Below are 20,707 nucleotides of genomic sequence, written 5' to 3' on the forward strand. Positions count from 1 at the left end.
TGTTTCTACAACACATACAAAAATTAGTGGCACACGCCTGTAGTCTCAGCTAGTCAAGCGGATGAAGTGTGAGGATCATCTGAGCCTGGCAAGGTCAAGGCTGCAGTGAATAGTGATTGTGAAAATGAAATCCAGCCAGGCGACAGAGTGAGACCCTGTCTAAAAAAAAAAAAAAAAAAAAAAACTATACATATACATATGTAAATTAAGAATGAAACAGAAACTTCCATAATCTCATCTTCTGAATTTTGGAATTGTGTAAAAGTTGCCTCAAACCAATGATAAGTAATAGCTCATGTTTACCAAGTGCTGACAACATGTCAGTGTGCTAAGAACTTTACACACGTTACTTGTTTAATTCTCACAAAGATCCTATGGAGTAGGTACAACCATTAGCCTACTGCACAGATGTAGAAACTGAGGCATAGCACCATTAAATAATTTGTCCAGCTCAGAAAGCAGCATTTGGTTATAGAGCTCATGTACTCTACCACTGCTCTGTACTGCACAGAGCAGGGCCACAAATGAAAAGACAGTCATGAGTCCGTTAAAATTCCAGGATAGTGAACACTGGGACATAGAATATGCTGCTAAGGGGGGCTGGGACATTCAAGGCCTGAGTGACTTCTCTGCATCTGTATACAGAGCCTGGGAGATGTGCCACTCATTTGTCATCTGATGATAATCTACTCATGAAAAATCATATTCTTTGAAGGATGATTAATTAATTTGACAAATCCGAGATTAAGACAAATGACTTAGAAGGGAAAGAATCAGTCATAGCCTGCACCTGGCCCGGTATGGACTTCCTGTCGCAGGCCACTACCCCTTCTGCCTGCATCTTCAGGTCTGCCCAGTTCAGCCTCTTTCTGTCTAAGCAGCCAACCTGCACACTCCATCTCAGGGGAAAGGAGCCTCCAAGCTGGCTCTCCCCATCTTCTCTCATAAATCCCAGAGCATGTTCTAGAATAATCTTTGACACGTGCTTTTAACCCTGATTTGCAGGTTTGAACACCTGTAGAAAGGTGAGGTTCACTCTCTCCAAATGCAGCCCATCCTTGCCTCCCCAATAGCCTAGGAGACCCAAGACCCAGTTGCAGAGCTCTCTAAGGCCATTGCTCCTCAGGCTCTCCACATCCAATGACTCCCGAACCTGGGGTTGTTCTGAACTCCCTCTGCCTCCCTGACAGATCGATCCACCAGCAAGTGCTGGCATCTCTTCCCCTAAGGTCCATCCCAACCCCACCCTCACCCCCAATTCTCTGCCTCTTTGCTGCCAGCACTCCACCTGGGCCATGCTCACTTCCTGCTTGGACTGCAGCATGGATGCTGCAGGGACTCTAGAGGCTGCAGAGGGATGCTAGCATGCCGTGACTCGTTTGAAAGTCACAATAGTGCTGATATTTTTATTTCCAACTGCCTAGCTTGTCTGCCTCTCAGCTGTTTTCCAGCTTTGATGATGGAAAGGTTGCATCTTCAGGCTCTGTTCAGCTCAGTATCCCTCTGTCTAAGCAACCCTGCCTGCTTAGAAAGGAGTATTATTAACTCCTCCAAACCTGCATTTATTTCCTAAAATTGCATGATACGTGTACTTTCAACACACAGAGAAGGACACCCATACATACACATATTTATGTATTAATTTGTATAGATTCAATTTAAACACACTTTTAACTATATAGATTGATATATATATAGATGATTTTTAATTTGTTGACCTTGCCAGATAACCCTGTCCCATCTCACCTTCCCCTCCTTCCCGTACTGAATCCTGGAGGCCCTAAACCATATCCACTTCATTAGAACCTGGCTGGCTGCAGCCATCTGCGACCTGCTTCCCTGTGCAGGTTGACTCTTCCTCCTGACATTTGAGAACAATTTGTCCCCTTCCCTTAGGGCATGATGTTCTCCATGCTGCGGTGGGCTGTGTTGGGGGAAGCTGTATGTGTCCTAGGGTCCCAGAACTTACAAGGCTGGGAGGATGGGGCTTAGTCCAGACTCTGGCCTCTGCTAGCATACTGTCAAACCACAGGGTGAGGCAACCATGCTGGAATGGCCCTGACTCATGAGGCTACACTGCAGACCCAATGGCTTGTTAGGACTCCTTTCAGTCACTTCCAAGAGCTACTGCCCATTGGACCCTGCATCCCCAGGAGCTACTCTTATGGAGAAGAGCTGTTGAGGGGGGCTTCAAAGAGCTTCCAATAGGACTAGAAGGACATCCAGAAGGAAGATATTGAGCTTGGGTTTGGAGTGTAAGCCAGAGAGACCTCAATGTCAGGGCCTCCTGCCCATCTGCCTCCCAGATGATGTCAGCGTTTATGACCCAAGGAGAGGACACTGGCCTTCAGCATAATTCTCTCTGTTTTTCACTTGGGAAACCTTGTGTGGGGCTAAAACAAAACCAGAGTCCAGTGGTGGTGTTGGGAAAATATGTCATGAGGTGGGGTCGGGGAGAGAACACTGAGGTTTTGCTGTGTGTACAGAAGATAAAACGATGGCTGAAATTCCAGGAGCATTCACCTTCAGTTCACAAGTGTTTCTGCCGTTCACAAACTAGATGTCTTAATTAAAATGCTGCTGAAGGAAGCAAATCAATTAGCAGATCCCATACAAGATGGTTTATTTTATCCTACACACAGAAAATTGCTTATGAGTATCACATTACCGCTCTTGGTTATCAGTTAACAAAGGCTGCTAATGAACAGCATCGTTATCAAGTTGGGTAAGAGACGCCCTGGGAGTCCAGGCAAATCATGACAACACAGCACTTTGTTCTGAAATATAGCTCATCTTTCATCACACACAAGGAGGGTAGCCCAGTCCGAGAGATTTCCTGGAAAGTGGAAAGGCAAAGAATATTCCGTGATGTGATCCCAGAAATACAGGGTTAATATTACAAGGGAGAGAAATGCTCACGGGGCCTTAGCCTGATGGCAATTGTAGAATGTCATGGCTTTCCTCAGCCTCCACCAGTCATGTCTTCTATGCAACAGCCATGTACATTGTAATAATAACCACAAAATAATTGTATAAGGAGAAAAATAATAACTGACATTCATGGCCCTCTGCAAGGCACAGCATCTGCTTTCTCATTTGGTCCTTCGTTGGTTCCATCCTTTGAAGGTCTGAGAGCAGCAGGCCCATTCCATGAACACCAAAGCCCTTCCTACCACGCCAGCCCAGACTGCCATTTCCCCTCCAGAAGGCCAGTGTTCATCATCGATAGGGCTAGAGACCATCCCGGAGTCCCCATGTTTCAGGACTCCCGAATCTTCACATAGTCCATCTTTAAGAAGGGATCTCCTGGCAGCTAAGAGGGTGAAGCTAATCGTTCTACAAAGTAGTGCCTAACTGTTGATAAGATGGCAGTGTGTAGGAAGCTGTGTGTTGGGTCGGATTCCCCTTTTCATGAGCCATTTTCTGTGGTAGGTTCCACGGACATGGACACCATGGCCTCATGGAAGCATGAACAGCTCCAACACAGGGTGAAGCTTTTGGTGTCCACCTTCTTCCACTGCAGGCTAAATTGCTCAATCCTTCCTCTGTGCAGTCCGTTTCTTCCAGAAGAGGCATGATATTTTCCTTCAGGACAGAGGCACTGTATATTCTATTCCTTCTATTATTTGCCTCCAATATTCAGTCCATGTGAAAGTTCATTACCAGCCTTGGGTGTTTGAATGCAGAACATCCTGAGATGTTAACCATGGGCTGTTTTCCACGGGGCTAGAACCCCTCTTCACGTCACTGCTCACCTACAGCTCAATCACCTGTGCATCTCTGGAAAGGAAGAGAACCATCTGGAAGACTTATTGAGAGAGCAACTATACTCTAATGATTGCATGTGTTTATGCAATTCACACAATTAAACAGGTATAAAAGCTCATCAGCAAAGCCTGCAAGGTGGGCCACTTCCTTGTGCAACATAGAAAGGAACTGAAGGCCAGTGGCTTCTGGGTAAAGGGGAGAGCTCAACCTGGAAGTTGTTTTCTGCCTGCCAAACCCAAGGCAAACAAAACTTCATCCACTTTGATGACAAAAAGAGAAGTCATTCCTCGAGGTTAATAGGCATATTTTGGGAAACTTTTCACTTTCTGTAGTTGGTGAATTTGCACAGATCTGGCCAGATGCTACGAGGAACAAGATAGATAGACCTATGAGAATAGAACTGGAAAATAATGCCTTCACATCTGAACTACGAGCTGTTACAGAGGGTGAGACTTCTCTGTGCTTGGTGTACCAGCTTTGATGAAAGGGAAGGGCAGCATAGGTGTCTAAAAAAGGGGAAACATGGAAGAGAAGATGAGTCAACAAACCAGACTCAGAAACAATAGAATGTGGACTGAAAGTAGGATGCAGACCCTGCGAAGGGCCTCACTTATACCTCCATGCCTTGAGACCAAATTCACACCCTCACTGTAGTTTCACATAGACATCTAGAATATAATAGAATGGTATATATGCTTACATTGAATGATGCAAAATTGTGTATGACTTTCCATTGTGTATATTCAGTCACAGTCTCCTGACAGCTAAGATCTCCTCATGAGAGATGGGGCAGCAACAGCAGGAAGGCGGGACAGAGTGAAGCATCTTTGGGACAAGCCACGTCAAAGGCCATAAAACAGACAGCACATATTTGACTACCCCATATTTGAGGACCAAGGACACACGTAATGGTCAGGGATATAGAGCTTGATGGCAGTAGAACCAACGTTAAAGACAAGAAAGACATTGGAAACCAGCAAGATATGGTGAGAGGAAGTGGTGAGAAAAGTAAAGGGAGGGATTCCAAGCAAGGGCCTCAAATGCCGTCAGGGGTTTTTTTCTCCTTCAAAAGATGGAAGGTTCAGAAGAAAATGGGGTTTAGAGGCCCAGAGGCTGAGCAGAGGGTTCATCCTTCCTAGTGCCTTTAACAAGCCCTGAATTAAAAGGCCCCTTCAGGTGTTGATAAGGAAGGGATCTAAAGAAGCTGGAGTTAGCCAGGTTTGCACTTGAGATATCAATGCCCAGAGTAGATGGGCAGCCCAAGAGAGCAGCCTCCTCCCACCCCTGGCTGCCCTGAGCAGAAGAAGGGGCACTGCTGAGCTACCTTATGGATGAAGTTGTTCTCTGACAGGTAGCGATACCTCTGCAGATGGGTGTGTCACCAGCCACCAGAGAGCCAGGCACGATCTGGAGAAAATGAGATAAGGCTGGCAGAGTCTAGGGCAGCATCTGCTGGCTGGACTAGTAGGTGAATTAGGCTGCATGGTACTCCGGGCTGGCATCATGAGAAAGAGCAAGAGCATGTTGCATACCATGTGATTTAGTGGCTACTTAACCCAAATCTTTGACCACATCCTCCAAGAATCACATAGACCAACAAGGAAAGAAGAAGAACAAAAAGAAACAAAAGTAAAACTAATAATGAGGATTCCTATACATTCTGGTTAGCCCCAGGGTTCATCTGGTTAGGATACATTTATGCCTGCTAATACTGAAAAAAATCTTTGGCAAAATCCAACACACATTTCTGATTTTTAAAACTCAGTAAAATAGGAACTGATGAATGCTCCTTAACATGATAAGATATGTGTGCTTCAGCCCTAGAGCCAGCATGTTACTTGATGGACACCACTAGTGGATTTCCCATCAAAGTCTGGCAGACGCATGTTGTATGCACACTTTTTCCACTATTATTTAACATTGGTGTTTTTAGCCAATGCAATCAGAGAGGAGAAGACAATTAAAGGCATATGAATTGGGAAAGAAGATCTGTATTTTGGCAGGTGACATAATATCATAAAAACTCAAGGGACGGAGAAGAAAACAGAGACAAAGAATAAAAGCATTCAACAAGGCAACCCCTATAATGCTAACATAATCCCCCAAAATCAAAATACAATCAATGACCAGGTAGGAGACATAATGGCAAAAACTCCATTTTGAAAGCAGCAAAGGCAGAATACTTAGGAATAAATATAACAAAAAATATGACAATCTTATAAGAGTAAAATCTGAAAACTCTCCTGAAACACACAAAAACAGAAACACACAAAATCAGATAATTTTTTATGAAAAAATTATCTCTTTTCCATGGAGAGCCACTTAACATCGTAAAGAAGTAAATCATCTTTAACTTAATATGTAAATATAATGCAACCCCAATTTAAATACCAGGATGTTTGCTTCTTTTTTTTTTTCTGTGTGTTGTTTTTATTTTCTTTGCTTTGGTCTATACAAAAGCCCAATAACCAAAAACACAAAGCAATCATCATAAAATTCTCCACTGGGACCTCCCCCAGCTCCCGCACCATGAAAGATTTTTGTTTCTGTGGAAAGATTCTGAAGTTGATTCTAAAGTTCATACGGAAAAATAAATATGAAAGAATAGCTGGAATAAAATAGCAAGAATGTCCCCTGCAAAGGAAGCACAACGTGTGTGCGGGTGGAGGGAACCAGCCCCACCAGAAGGTAGAGCACACCAGGAAGCCTCTCTAGGCTCAGCCTCTCCAGGAAGCTCTCAGCACATGAATAACCGCAAATACCAATGGAGAATAAAGCCTAGAAATACCCTAGTACGCACAGAAATTTAGAACATTATAAAAGAGGCAAATGAAACACTGGGGAAATAGGGTGGTTTTAAAAAATAGTATCGGAATAATTCAATTGCCATTTGGGAAAAAGAAAAAATTGGATCTTAACTCATACCACACACCAGAATAAATGACAAATGGATCAGACATCTAAGTAAACAATAAAACCATCCAAGTGCTGGGAAAAGTATATATGCACAGATATATACATCTATATGTAAACATCTTCTAATTTTATTTTAAAAAGTGTGTCTATATAAAAGTGTTTTTAATTAAATATATTTTTGTAAAAGTATCACAGAAAGAATAAACCAGGAACTATTGAAAATAGCAACTTCAAAGCAGTAGGTAGGAACACGGTAGAGTGGACAGTTACAAGAGAAACACTTCTCTGAGTTTATCTGTTTACATAGTTTATCTCTGAATCGTGTACATGACACACGATTCAGAGATAAACTGTGTAAAGAAAACTATGTAAATTAAAATTTTAAAAGATTAAAACAGGAAATAGTAAAATATAATACACACTAAAACAAGTGTTTCTGACTCTCTATCCAATTGATAGCATAACCACACAGAGAATATAATTAATTTCATTTGAACACAATACTCTGGCTGTGCACACCTAGAGGGCTAAATTCTAAGGGTAAAAGCCACTGCAAAGAAATATGCAAGTTTACTGAGTGGGTCTATAGCTGCATAGTGCTCTAATTTCTGGAGGCATTTTGTGTGTATTATAGAATAGAGAAAATGAGTAAAAATATTATGTGGTGGAAAAGCAGGGTTTTTACTTTGGAGAAGGCAATCTAGACACATGGATTAGGGAAAGCTTAGGAAAAGTCTTATGATATTGAGTGTGTAATTTAAATGCACGTTTCGTGACTCTGCCCATTGAAAGGGCCTAGAAGCAATGACACCTCAGTAGCCCTGAGCACACATTGTGCCCAGATCTTAGTTTCTAAAAATGATTCCACAGTAAAAATTAAAATAAAAGAGAGAGAGAGTGAGAGAGAGACAGAGAGAGTGAGAGAGAGACAGAGAGAGAAACAGGGACCCTTGGGAAAATTAGACCCTTGTGCTACCCTTGGGAGCAGGTCAAGGTGAGCCTGAGATATTGTGTTGTCAGAAGTCTAGCATGTGCTCAAAGACTAATGGGTTCTGTCTAAAGGGCACAGAGGCCACCAAGAAGTGACTTGCACTAGCCAAATTTGCAACAATTTGGGCTTCAGAAAGAATCATGATGGCAATGGATTAAAATGCCTTGAAGTCCACAGTAATAATCCTCAACAAAAGAAGGAGAAAGGGGAGATAGAATAAAAAGGCTTCCTTGTGGATGAATGTCAGCTATTAAATATAGAAGAAATGCTGGAATTAGAAAGTCAATATTTTGTAATCACCAATGGCAAAAACTGCTTGAAGCAGGATCATGAATAGGTATAAAATCATTAGGTGAGGAATTGTTGGGGGTCGGGATATTCACATAGTGTCAAAGTGCCACCCCTCGTATTATTCATTTCAGAGGGGAAAATTCTAATTTCTACAAATGTAGAAATCTAGTGGTCACTCCCTTAACCAAGCAAACGAAGCATCACCAACAGTGATGCAATACAACAAAAGATACACAACATCACTTCATGGTATTTCTGACCAAAAACTTCAATCTGAATCTACTCAGGAGAAAACGATCAGACAAATCCAGAAAATGGGACATTGTATAAGACAACGGGGCTTAGGGACTTCTCAATTAACAATGCCATAAGGATAAAAAGCAGAGGGGCTGTTCAATACTGAAAGAGACTTAAAAAAAAGACAAAATAAATACAAATATTTTTTCTGGATTGGAAAATAGCACAATAAAAAATAGAGCAATAAAAGATACTTCTGAAATAACCAGAGAAATTTAAATATGGACTGTATAATAGATGATATTAAATTAGCATTAATTTTCTTAGGAGTGGTCACTGTATTGTGATTATACACAATAGGAAACACAATGGTGCTGTATTCAGGGGTGAAATATCATGATATCTACACTAATTTGCAAGTAGATCAGTCAAAAAAGGCTTATGTACACAGAGATAAAGCAAAGGGGGCACCGTGTCAGTGAGTGACCCTAGGTGAAGGGTGTATATATTTTGATTGTCCCGTTCTTTCAACTTTTCTTTGGATTTGAAAATTTTTCATAAAGCAGGAGAGTGAGGTCAAGAGATTGCCCCAGGCCTGTGTGACCATCCTGGGCTGGTCAGACAGGGAGCAAATTCTCAGTGGGTTTGGCACATGCAAGGGGCATGAGGTGAGGAAAAGCCAAGCTGGGGAATGTGGATTGTGAAATGATGATTCTCAAAACCCTGGTGAAGATGCCTTCATTCCTAGGAGTCTTCATCCATAGGCTCATTCAATCAGGGGTCCGAGATCCTGTCCCCTTCTGTAGACCGGCCCTCCACATACAGGCTTCGTCCTCTCCGAGACCCCAAAGCAGCACTGAGATGCAAATACCCAGCCAAACTGATAGCATGATGACATGAAGAGATGTTTGGGAATTTTTTTCATCAAATGGACTAAATTGGCTAATTATTAGATTGGACACTATCATAGGATAGGTCTTGGAGAATGAAAAAAAGTTTACCTATCCTGTTAAAACCATTTTCTCAGCTCTAACTGGGCAAATGCCCCACAGCTTCATGTTAAATCTTGCCAAGTACCATCATGTCCCAAGGTGATGCTGATTCCTGGTCTCACAGCTGTCCTGGCATGAGGGCTCCTGGCCATGCCATGGTTGCCCGTCCCACGTGGCCAGGGGAGGGAGAGGTCATGCCGAAAACCCATGCAGCCCCATGGGGCAGAGACTGCCTGTCCTCCTTTTAAGACAAGTGATCACTCTTACAACTCACCTTTTGGAGAAATTGTGGTTTCGCCTGCAAAACAAGATAAAAGGGTGTTCATTGCCTAAGCCTTAGAAGCCAGAAAGACAATGCAAAACTTGCTGCAAGAGAGTGGCTTGCTTGTCATTAGCTTGCTCTTTTGGGTCTGACTTCCTCATGACTCAGCCTGACTCCATCTAGTGTTAGTTTTGGAAACTCGAATCCTGCTTCTCCTCTCTGAAAGTCCCTCTATTTGCAGAGGAGCTCTGTTACGATACCTGCCAAGAACAGCTCCCTGCACGTGGTGAGGGCGATGTATTAATTATCAGGGGTATAAACTCCCATCCAGCCATTGCCTCCCAGCCTCCCTCTCTCCTGGCCTTTATTTCTTGCCTCCCTCACCCACTTGCTTCCTCTAGCATCCCTTCATGTTTTCTCATGAACTTCGCTTTCAGAAAGTTCATTGTTGAATAACTATTGGAGCCATCTTTCCTGGATTATGGAAAATGCCTTCTATAGCCCTGATAGCTCAAAATAACCCAGAACTTCCAAAAAACACATATAACAGAGACGCTCCTCTTAGATGATCATGCATAAGAACATAAAAAGCACAGTGACTGCTCATTCAGCAGTGTTTTCAAATGGGTCTGTGTTGTATTGCTCACAGCAGCATCATCCCACACAGATGTATGTGTGTCAGAGTCCATCATGAATGGCCACATGCACATACACACACATATACACAGGCAATAAATGCACACACACATATAGACAGGCAATACATGCACACACACACATATGCGTGCGCACACACACAACAGGATTAAGGATCGAGCTTTGTGAAATTTCATTCTATGTGAAGTCCGTGGCTAAGATGTCCCTGAAGCATGGTCTGCTTCAAGGTCTGGCGATTTGCAAAGCAAAGTGCCTTAACTCAAAGTCCCCCTCAATGTGTGCCAGGAATTCAGATGGTCAAGGTAGCGTCCCTGTGCTGGGGGGAGCTCTAGTACTTTAGAGCCTTCCCCGTGGTGAGAAGGTCACTGTGCTAGAATCTCCACATGTTTCAATATTCCTGACCACAGGGGCTGAGCTGGCCACAGCAGTCTGTGTCCTCTGCCTGGGTACCTAAGCACCCAGCAGAGGGCCCCTGAGGCCACATGGTGCCAGGGTCTTCGCCATGGCCAACACAGCCCATCCATTCAAAACAGACTCCTCCTGCACTCCTCACCACAGATGCTACCGCTACCTGGACCCACAAAGGCAACAAAGGTTCTAGGAAGTCAATCCTTCTCACCCTTCCAGACTCCATCCATGGCCTCCTCATGTCCTCCAAGAGCCCTGTGTGAAAACCCTTATAATGGCCAGTCCACCCTGATTCCATGGTGGGAGATGCTGACTCAGCGCCCAACCCACAGCCATCTGAGTGCTGCCCTTGGGTCAGCGGGGACTGGGACACCCTCCTGGCCAGGTGCCGCAGCTGCACACTTAGGAGAACCTGTGATTGTGCCAACCCCCCTAGGGCTAGAAGAACACAGAGCTGCCCGGGGCAAAGGCCTCTTAGGGCGGGGGGAAGGGAGGGGTGTGAAGAGCTGGCCAGCATGGAACTCTACTCTCCCGCATCAGTGGATTTGGGGGCACTGGGAGCAGTTCGGCATGTTTCTTCTATAAAAAGGAATGTGACAACTTCAGCCAATGTGGGTCTGGGTGTGTGAATATGTGCATGTGTGTGTGTGTGTGTGAGAGAGAGAGAGAGAGAGAGAGATGGGACATATGGCATCTCTGGTCCCTCAACCTGAAATATCCCCAATTCGACCACACATTTCCAAAACCCCCTGAAGCTGGTTACATGCCCTAGATGCAGAGAACGTGACATGGCCAGCAAGAGGAGTGCTGTGTGGCCACCGGGGCCTGGACACTTCACAGGCCCACTCAATCTAAGTTGACCACACATCCCTATTTCCCTAGGACAGTCCAGGCTCACACCTATCATCCTGGTGCAACTTTTACAGAGCCTCTTCTCACTCTCACAAAGTGCTGTCTTGGATGATAAGTTATATATCCTGTCTTCTCCAGCCCAGGACCCAGTGGACTGACACAAACTTGGGGTGGGGGGATGACATGGGAGGGGACAGAGAGAAGGAGAGTGAGAGTCAGAAACAGAAGGAGAGATGGGGTGCTGGGAGACAGAGTTGATGAAATGTGCTTTAATGCTTCACAATCAGAAACCACTGCTGAAAACTAGAATATCTGTAGGAGGAGAAATCCTCAAAAAAAGTGAACTTCTCAAGAAAATCCATGTCCAGCTCATCCCAAGCGCATGACTCCATGAGGGCTGATGAGTCATGACCCGCAGCCACAATGCACCATGCGTTCATCCCTCATGCAGCCATTAATCCATCCGCTCCTTCAATAGACACTACTTGGAAGTTACCCAGTCCCTGGTCCCATGGAAGAACTGGAGGGTGAGACTGGGCTCTGGGTACTTTCTAAAAGCCACTAACCCTGTGTCAACCCAGACCTCTGTCCTAAATGCCAGCCACTTACTAGACATCTCCTCTACATGGAAGTGTCCAGAAACTTTCGGCTCACCATGTTCAAAAAAATATCATCTCACCCAGCTCACTGCCCAAAGCTGCTCCCCCACCAACTTCCCAAAGGGCACCTGCTCAGAGAAAACTCTGAGCTGTTCTAGATTCTTTTCTCTCCTCCAGTGGCTGTCTCAGTCCCTCATCCCAGGTCCCTGGGCCAGCTCCTCCTTAACTTTGTTCCCATCTTTCATTTTTTCCATTGCCTCCACCTGGACTTACTCCAGCAGGGCTTTGCACCAGGCCTGAGTCTCTGTCCGGGCTTCCAGCACATCTTCCTGGCTGCAGCTGGGCCCTCCTCCATGCCACCATATAACAAAAAATATTCTCTCTCTCCCCTGCTTAGAACCCATCTGTAGGTGACCAGAAGTTTCAGGACAGATTTCAGACTCCTTTGCTTAACACAAGCCCCTCTGACTGTACATGCATAGAAACTACCTATCTCTCCAGCGCTTCCTTCCATATCGTCACATGAAACACTTGCTTCTGCCACACTGCATGTTTGTCAGCGGCAGGTTTTACCCATGATGCCTACATATACTAGGGTTCCCTCTGCATTCATGAGCTTCTCTTAGTCCTTCCGCACGTAGCCTGAGGCTCCCCTGCACCTCCTAGTGGCTATGCAGCCCTCTGCACCCCCAAGACACAAGGCAACACATGCTTAGCCTGCCATAGACCTCCCGGGACCCCCACCCCCACTGTGCAGCCACCACCTGGGACCTGCCTGTCTCCCCTGTAGACTGGGGGAGATTGTCCTACTTCTCTCTCCTTGACCCCCAGCACCTAGCCCATGGCCTCATGTTCAGTTATTTATTCATTCATTCAACACATATGCAAGTATCCACTTTGTCCCTGGCACTGTGCTAAGTGCTGTGCTACAGAAGTGAAAAGGAAGACCCTACCCGCCCGGAGCTTACATTTTAGAAAAAAACCCATGCAAAATAGACAAATCAATATATCGTATAGCATCAACTAGTGCAAAGAATTATAAAGAAAACTAAAGCCAAGCAAAGAGAAGAGAATGGTGGCTGGAGTCGAGAGGGGATTGTACCTTAAATAGGCCCTCCATGATGCAGTGGTGACACTGAAGCAGGGATTTGAAGGAAAAGAGGGTCGAGGCTTGCAGCTTTCTGGCAAAGAGCATTCCAATTACAGAAAACAGCAAGTGCAAAGGTCCCAAGGCAGGACCGTCCCTGAGGACGTGGGCTCTGTGCAGAAGAGCAGGGTACCTTGATGCCAGCAGGGAAGCCCAGAAACCTGGGACAAACCACGTGTGACCTCCCAAGTGACAGGGGCTGGAGGCCTCATTCTGAAAGTCAGGGGTATGCACTGAAGGGGTCTGAGTGGGGGTGGAACAGGATCTAATCCAGGCTATGCAGAGGCGAGCCCTACTCCCTTTGACGGCTGTAGCCTGTGGCCCTCACTCTTGTGACACCTGCCCACTGGTCCAGAGGAGGAGAGAGTGTAAGGAGGGGACCACGAGGTGCATTCTAGTCACCTAGAAAGCATGCCAGAGTGCAGAGAAGGCTGGGGATGACAGGCAAGGGAGTGGCACGGTCAAGACAGGAGAGAACACGATACCTCTCCCTGACTGTGTGGGCAGTGACCTTACCTTGGGGCTCTCTTCTTTAGCGGGATGGTGTCTAAACAGAGAAAGCCGGGCATTAGGAAGGGGGTCGTGTGACAAGAGGTGCAGAGCATTCCCTAGAGCTTTCACCTCCCTCTCCTTGGTCCTCTCACTCACGGTTGCCCTCGAGAGACCCGGGGCCTGGCTGCTATGTGATGAAGAGGCTGTTTCCTCCCCTTATTTGTGGGGATACACAAGGATAAGCAAACTCAAGGATAAGCAAACTCCCATGGCCTATTAAGCCCCTCGGGCGATGCACACGCCAGCATCTCGGAAGCCTCCTCCTCTCCCGGCCCAGACCAGCCCCTTCTGCTTATCTTCACGGATCATAATCACGTCTTCCAGGAAGGCAGTGAGGCTCTATTCTCCCCAGAAGCACCCCATGGAAAACTGCACCGTCATTGCAGTGAGCCATCTAATACAACAGAGGATGAGTCTGGGGATGATACCCTGAGAGAAGGGATGCAAATCAATACTGCACTTTGGGTGCCAAGGAGGCAGAGGGCTGTGCCATGGTGCATGTCAGCCAGCTCAGTTTCTCTCTGAGGGCCTACTCAGTACTGCTTTGAGAAGGACTTTCCCAATTTATGAAAAAAAATTCATCTTGACCCACAAAGGCAGTGTCAACAGAACCTCCCACCATCCGCCCACACTTAGGACCAACCTCGCTGCCTACTGGGACTGGGTTTATTTGATCTCATCATTTGGATGAGAGAACAGAAATTTCTGTGTGAAGCCAATTTTAGTTCCTCTCCCACCTTTCTCCAGGAAATGTGATTCTCAGGACTGCCAAGAGCAACTGAAAGGAAAAGTACAGAGGGAAAGAGACACAGAAAGACAGAGACATGGAAAGGGAGACAGAAAAAGGAACACAAATAGAGAGACAGAGAGAGATAGAGACAGAAGAAAGAGAAACAGAGGCAAAGGGTTAGTGAGAGAGACAGAAACATGCAGAGGTCACTGCCTTCCTTTACAGCCTGTTGGGCTCTGCGCTTGTGGGTTCATTCTTGCTGTAGCCAGCATCACAGAGTGGCCCTCGGTGCCTCGCTGGGTGGGGCAGAGCCAGGCCCGAGCACCACATCCCTCACCACTGAGGCCCCCAGGCGTGCTTTTCAGGTCGGAAGAGTCGTCGTCAAATAAGTGCCTCCTGATCATGCAGATCTTCAGGGCCAGGAAGCCAGCAGATATGGCGACACCCACAGCAGTCCCGATGAGGGCGTACTTGAAATCTGAAACGCAGGGAGGAATTGAACACCCGGTTTCAGTCACCTGCAGCTCCCTCTGCATTCCAGATGAGGTCCAAAGCATGCATGTGGCCCTTAACACACCACCTCCCACTGGCTGAGGCCAGCCTCACCTTCTACTCTCCCATGAGTCCCTTTGCTCCTAGCCTCTGCCTGCACCCCATCCCCTCCTTCAGCTGTAGAAACTGTTGCCACCTTTCAAGGCTCCCTGAAGCTCACCTGGCTACCCCTGCCCAAAAGGTGAGTGGCTCATTTCTCTGGCCACCTGAGCCTCCTAGCCCTTCCTCACTGATCCCTTCGTTAATTCATCCACTCATCTATTGGGTGTGTGTTAATTGCCTGCTCTGTGGTGAACACTGCAGGAGAATGGATAAGGCCTGTCTGGCCTTTGAGGAGCCTGCAGTCAGCTGGGGAGGACAGGGAAGGAGCTCATGACGGGAGAGGCTGGGTTGGCCTAGAGTCATGGGCGTCCAGAGCCTTCTCAGAGGGTGAGGCATGCAGACTGAGCCTGGCCAGCAGATGAGGCCCTTAAGGGGCAGACAGGCTGGAAGCTCGCAGGTGGAGGGAGGCACCGATGAGGGCTGTGAGCCTGGCAAAGCATGCTGTCAGGGCCCATGGCTGTGGGACAGGGCTCAGTGGGTGCTGGAGCCACGCATCTGTGGCCCTGAGGTATCACGTCCCCTGTGTGGACGAGCTTTAATGCAAGGCCTTTCCCCCGAAATAAAGCTGTCAGCTGCTCTGGGGGACCTGGAGGTGAGGGTGCCCCTTTTCCTATGCTGACAGCAGGGAACCAATTCCAGCACTGCGGCCCTCTGCTTGCTTGTCTTGGGAGCTTCCTTCCTGCCCCTGACCCTGTGCACAGAATAACATGGGCAGCCACGTACCAATTTCAGCCCCAGGGGTCTTGCCTGTTGCCAGCACTTGAGCTCCTCCTACATCTGCAAAGAAAGAAACCCCAGAGCCTGGTTAGAACAGAGCTGGCTGTGGTCCCAGCTACCCAGTCTCAGAGGCCTGGGAAAGCCTACCCCATGTACCCACCAGGAGCACAGAGGTGGGCTCCCAATTGCCATGGAGTGTCTTGGAGCCTTGCTGAGACATCAGAGCTTCCCTCAAAACTCAGACCAGGAACGCGTCTCCACCCAATGCACTTCAGTCAGCCGTTCAGCACAGTTTCCAAGACCTGAACTCTGACCCAAGCCTGCTCCACAAGCTCCCCTGTGGCTCCCAAGGCCCTCCTTAATCCAGCATGGCTTTGGTGCTTCTAGTTCCCCACACAGCCAGGGAATCTCCTGCCCTGCCTCAGGGCCACACCCTCTGCCTGACCCCATCTTCTTCCCTTCCTCCTTTACCTGGTCTTGGCTCCATGCCACTTCCTCCCTGACTCCCCAGACCTGGGTGAGCTGATCCCAGTGTGCTCCGTAGCCGTGGTGCTTGCCGGCCATAACTGACCATGTCAATATGTAACAACATTTACATAGCACTAGTTTGCTCCAGGCTCCATCCTAAAAGCTTCTCACATATTAACACATCAATACGTCTTCTGGCTGGTCTCGCTCTGGGCTGCGTGGTATAGTGTCCAGCATTTGATGCAGTGCTTGGCCCACAGGAGGCATTAATAGACATTGGTGAATGGAAGGAAGGAAGGAAGAAAGGAAGGAAGGAAGGAAGGGAGGGAGGGAGGGAGGGAGGGAGGGAGGGTGGGAAGGAAGGAAAGAAAGAAGGAAAGAGAGCATGCTGTAAGGGTCCCTCCCTCTTCTAGCCAGGCCTTGAAACCTTAAGACAGGAGATACTGCTCACAAACAGCGCCCTAAAATAGTGATCCAGAGGTGAGGTCCTTGGAGAGAAATGTGCACATTTATTGGCCACTTACTCTGAGACGGACACTGGGTGCAGTGCTGGCATTAATATATGTAATACTCACAGCAACAACTCTGTGAGATAAGTACTGTTATTATTGCCATTCGCAAAATGAGGAACGGGAGGCATTGTGGTCTTGCTAATTTGCCCAAGAGCCAAGATAAGTGGGAAGTGGCAGGTTTGCACTGAGAGTCCAGGAAGGCCTACAGACGTGAATGTGAATCCAGTGAACTAACAGATACAACACCACCAAAACCATCAAGCCCTAGGGCTGCATGGACTTGGGCTGGGGATGGGCAAATGGTAAGATCCAAGTCTGAGTCTCACATTCAAACTTCCAGGCAAAGGCAGGAGAGTGTGCTACCACTCCTGTTTCTCACAAAGGGAAACAAGTGACTTCACTGGGAAAGACCAGATGGTATGATGAAGGAAGCATCATAGCAAAGACATCCTCCACCCAACCCTGTCTGCTGACCACACTCAGTGATGCCCAGAGTGGCGTGGTAGGTTGGAGCTCTGCAGGGGACAGCTTTGCTCTGTGTGTGTTTGGTGGAGAGAGGAATTGTCCTGCTAGAGTTCAGAATTTTTTCCGGCAGTCTAATTTTTTAGACTGGTAAAGATTCCCCAAGCTTTTTCTAAAGCAAAAGTTCTCAGCTTTGTTCTAATCACAGATATTTTTGAAAATTCAATGACTTATCTTCTCTCTTTCCCACAGATCACAAGCCCCATGTGAGCACATTTGCTCACACACACAGACACCACCGCACACAATATGACTCTGATTTTGTCTGTTCTCTGAAGCCCCAATCAGCTTCATTCCATTGTCTTATTGTTTTTTTTAAGTCAATCTTGCTGCTCCAGCTAGGTTGAACATCGTTCCGGACATGGGGCAAAGGCTTATATTCAATGGAAGGCTGTGGGTGGGAGCACATTTCCAGACTGACACTCCCAACTCAGAGCTGTGTGTGCTACGTCTTCACCCTTTCCTGGGACGGGACCCTTTGCTGACACCTCTGATCTCTCTCTGCCTTTACTGGGCAGAAGGCAGGAGGACAGGGGAGGGCAGGGCCTCAGTGGGTGGGGCCAGACCCCTGAGCCCCAGGCTCACCCCACGCCCTCCCCCTGCCACACTAGCATGTTGCTTGGTCCCCCCTCCCATCCTCCCTTGGTGGGCATTGCTCTCACTTGCAGTGTTGGCATGGAAACTTCATGCTAGCCTGAGATGAAATCCGAGCAGAGAGGAAGGAAGGACTCAGGTTAGAAAGGGTGAGAAAGACATAGGTACACACAGAGACACTCAAGAGACACACTCAGGCTGTGCTTGAGTCACTCAGACCATCATTGGGAGGGAAGAGAAAGGAAGAGGAGAAAGCCCTAACATCAAAAGGCCCCAGCCCTGGCCTTGGTTTCTCCAACAGCATCACGGTCTCCATTCTCGCCAGGCTGTCCTGCATCCTTCCTCATTGACTTCACCCCCCAAATGTGTTGCCCTGAACCCTCAGCTCCTTCTGCCCCTCTCTGTGGCTGGGACCCCTGGCTGAGGTTCAGCTCACCCCCAAAAAGAGGCCAGTCCCTTAGGCACCATCCTCTATGTCCCATCCTGTGTCCCCTCCAAGCTGTGAGGCTTCCCCTAATCCCTGGCCCCAAAGAGGCTCTATTTTTGGTGGTCTGACTTAGGGACTGAGTGAATTCCCACTGCCACCCCAACTCCACCACCACCTTGAGTCACTTGCAGGGAGACCAACGTGGGCAGATAACCCAGCTGTGCACTCAAACAGCCAAGGGCCCAGCCCTTCCTGCGAGCCAGCCCCACAGCCACTCAGTGGCAGCCTTTCCCCTCCTCAGGGAGGGAAATCCCTCCATGCAGCCCTCCTGTGCTTGGAGCTGTGACTCTACACACTCATGAGCCCTTGGGTGAGGGTCCATGCTCAGCACAGCAGCCTGGCCGGCCCCACCCCTGCATCCTGCTAGGGTCATGAGCTGGGGAGGACCCCCTGGGCCATAGACCCCCTGCAAGCCTCCAGCACTGGCTGATGTCCCCTGGCTCTGCAAAGTAGCTGGAGGATGGCTGGCCCTAGCAGGCCTGCTTGGACATCACAGCCAGAGGTCTCTGGAGTGCCTCGGCTGCATTTAGATCTGTGGGAGACCCCAGGAGGAAGCCCACGAGGACCAGCAGGAACTGCACTGCATTTTCTCTGTGGGAATTCTCCGAGATCTCATGCAAGAAGGAGGAGGGAGCTTGGCACCCACAGGAGAGTCCTAGGGGACTGAGGTAAGGCTGTGTGAAACAGGCACCCTTCTAACCTGTAGATTTGCTGAGGCCATAATAGGCACAGTTCTGGCCAAATCTGGCTTCACCCCATCTGACTGCTACCACCGACTGCATAAGTCTGGCTGACCACCTCCCTTGAACTGTTCACACTGGGCAGGGTCAGAGAGCCAGAATACAGGCCCTTGCTGCTGCCTAGAGCAGAGAGCAGAGGGCAGAGGGCTACCTCCAGAGGACTTGCTGAGATGCGGGGGCTTTCCACAGCCTCCACCTGTGTAGCTTCCATGTGTGGTCAGATCAGCCTCTGACCATAGAAGCTTTTCCTAATTTGCACAAGGGCACTCGATGGGCTCTAGATTCTAGAGTTTCTGCTTTCTCCCTGATGCCCCATTTGGACCTGGTACTCTGTGCCTCCCTGACAAAATAGTGGGCTCCAGCCCCCTCACAGCTGCCATTCCCACCTCAGGCCTGCAGCACACAGATTGCTCTGTAAGTGGCTCTCCCAACAGCAAGAAGCCCTCTGCAAGAGTGGATGTCCCTCTGTCTTATGGTCCCCCAGAAACATGGGAGGGCAGCCACCCCAGCTCCTGGGGAGGAAGATGGCAGGGCTGCTCTACACAAGCTGAGATGAGTTATTTTGGAGAGAGCTGAAGGCACGGCCTAGCTTTGCCCCATCTCACTTGGAATCTGACCTGCTGAGAGCCCATCCCCGGCATCCAGGCCTCTTTGAGCTGTCCACCTGTTGGGTCCACCCTTGATGGGGGACTGGCACTCTTTGCCACCCTTATTTGGGCAGAATCAGGCTGTGGGATTCCCAGTTGTGGGCCAGTAGGCGTGCGTGCACTCAGATGTCGTTCTATAAGTATTTGAACTAAAAATAGGGAGAGGCTGCCCTAAGTGTTTGTCAATGATGCCCGGCCATAGTCTTCTTGGGACTTAAATGTTGCAGAATGGCTCCTAACTTTAGAGCTCATGAATTCCAACATTCTCAGCTAGAGGAAGTGGCTTTGAATGTCTAGGACAGGCTTCCTTATTCTCCTAACAGGGCTCACACATGTAAATAAAGAGCCTATAGGGTGTTCCAGGGGGCCCCAGTGCCTAGGAGAAATCAAAGAGCAACCAGAGACCCAAGTGCCCCATGAAGGAGCTCACAGAGTGACCAGGGAGACAAGATTTACACTGAATAAAAGATCAGAGTGTCACAGGCAAAGCTCAGCGCCTTCCCCAAGCCTCAGTCTCACAAGCTGGAGGAAGTGGGAACAGGGTGCAGAGTGGGCACTGGTGCATGGCCTGCCTTCCTCTCCTGACTAGCACCTCAGTTTTCCTCTGAGCAACAAGAGGCCCCACAGCCAGACCCCCAGCCAACCCTACTCACTGGGGAAAGGGTTTGTTCCACCTTCGAGCCTCTCTGTGGGGATCTGAGACTTCACTATGACCTCATGATGGGTAGGAGGGAAGGATATTTGGAACCAGGAGATCTGAGTCCCCATTCTGCCACCCATTGCTCAGCCAGTGGCCTTGGACCAGACACAGCACGGCTCCCAGCTCAATGGCCTCATTGCACACAGAGCATGGCTGGGCAAGTTCCCAAATTGAGTGTGTGCACAGAGTGAGGTGCAAGTGGCAGCTGCCCTTCTACAAGCAAGCACACCACCACCTGAGACGGGCATCTGCCAATTTCTAGGG

At 48.1% G+C, this 20,707-nt stretch overlaps 1 protein-coding gene across 22 annotated transcripts in view, besides 1 other annotated feature; it reads right to left on the bottom strand.

Moving 5' to 3' along the window:
• Window positions 1-2,606: 2,606 nt before the first annotated feature.
• Window positions 2,607-20,707, bottom strand: part of TMEM273 (transmembrane protein 273) — a 33,656-nt gene continuing 15,555 nt past the window's right edge. Inside the window, exons 2-7 of one of the 22 annotated variants that reach the window (XM_047424684.1) lie at window positions 15,780-15,833; window positions 14,740-14,880; window positions 13,637-13,667; window positions 10,734-10,777; window positions 9,470-9,493; window positions 2,607-2,836 (exon numbers count right to left, since the gene is read on the bottom strand). In XM_047424684.1, the coding sequence (XP_047280640.1) occupies window positions 2,790-2,836; window positions 9,470-9,493; window positions 10,734-10,777; window positions 13,637-13,667; window positions 14,740-14,880; window positions 15,780-15,833 (341 nt within the window). In that variant the 3' untranslated portion in view covers window positions 2,607-2,789. The other 21 variants (XM_047424687.1, XM_047424685.1, XM_017015793.2 and 18 more) reach the window with 21 other exon arrangements.
• Window positions 18,673-19,172: an enhancer, noted in NCBI's record as "H3K4me1 hESC enhancer chr10:50378847-50379346 (GRCh37/hg19 assembly coordinates)". NCBI's record gives its function as "activates a minimal SCP1, AML or CMV promoter by ChIP-STARR-seq in naive H9 embryonic stem cells {active_cell/tissue: H9 hESC(naive)}" and the evidence as "EXISTENCE:reporter gene assay evidence [ECO:0000049][PMID:30033119]".

Source organism: Homo sapiens, chromosome 10, assembly GCF_000001405.40.
Source record: "Homo sapiens chromosome 10, GRCh38.p14 Primary Assembly".
NCBI lineage: Eukaryota > Metazoa > Chordata > Mammalia > Primates > Hominidae > Homo > Homo sapiens.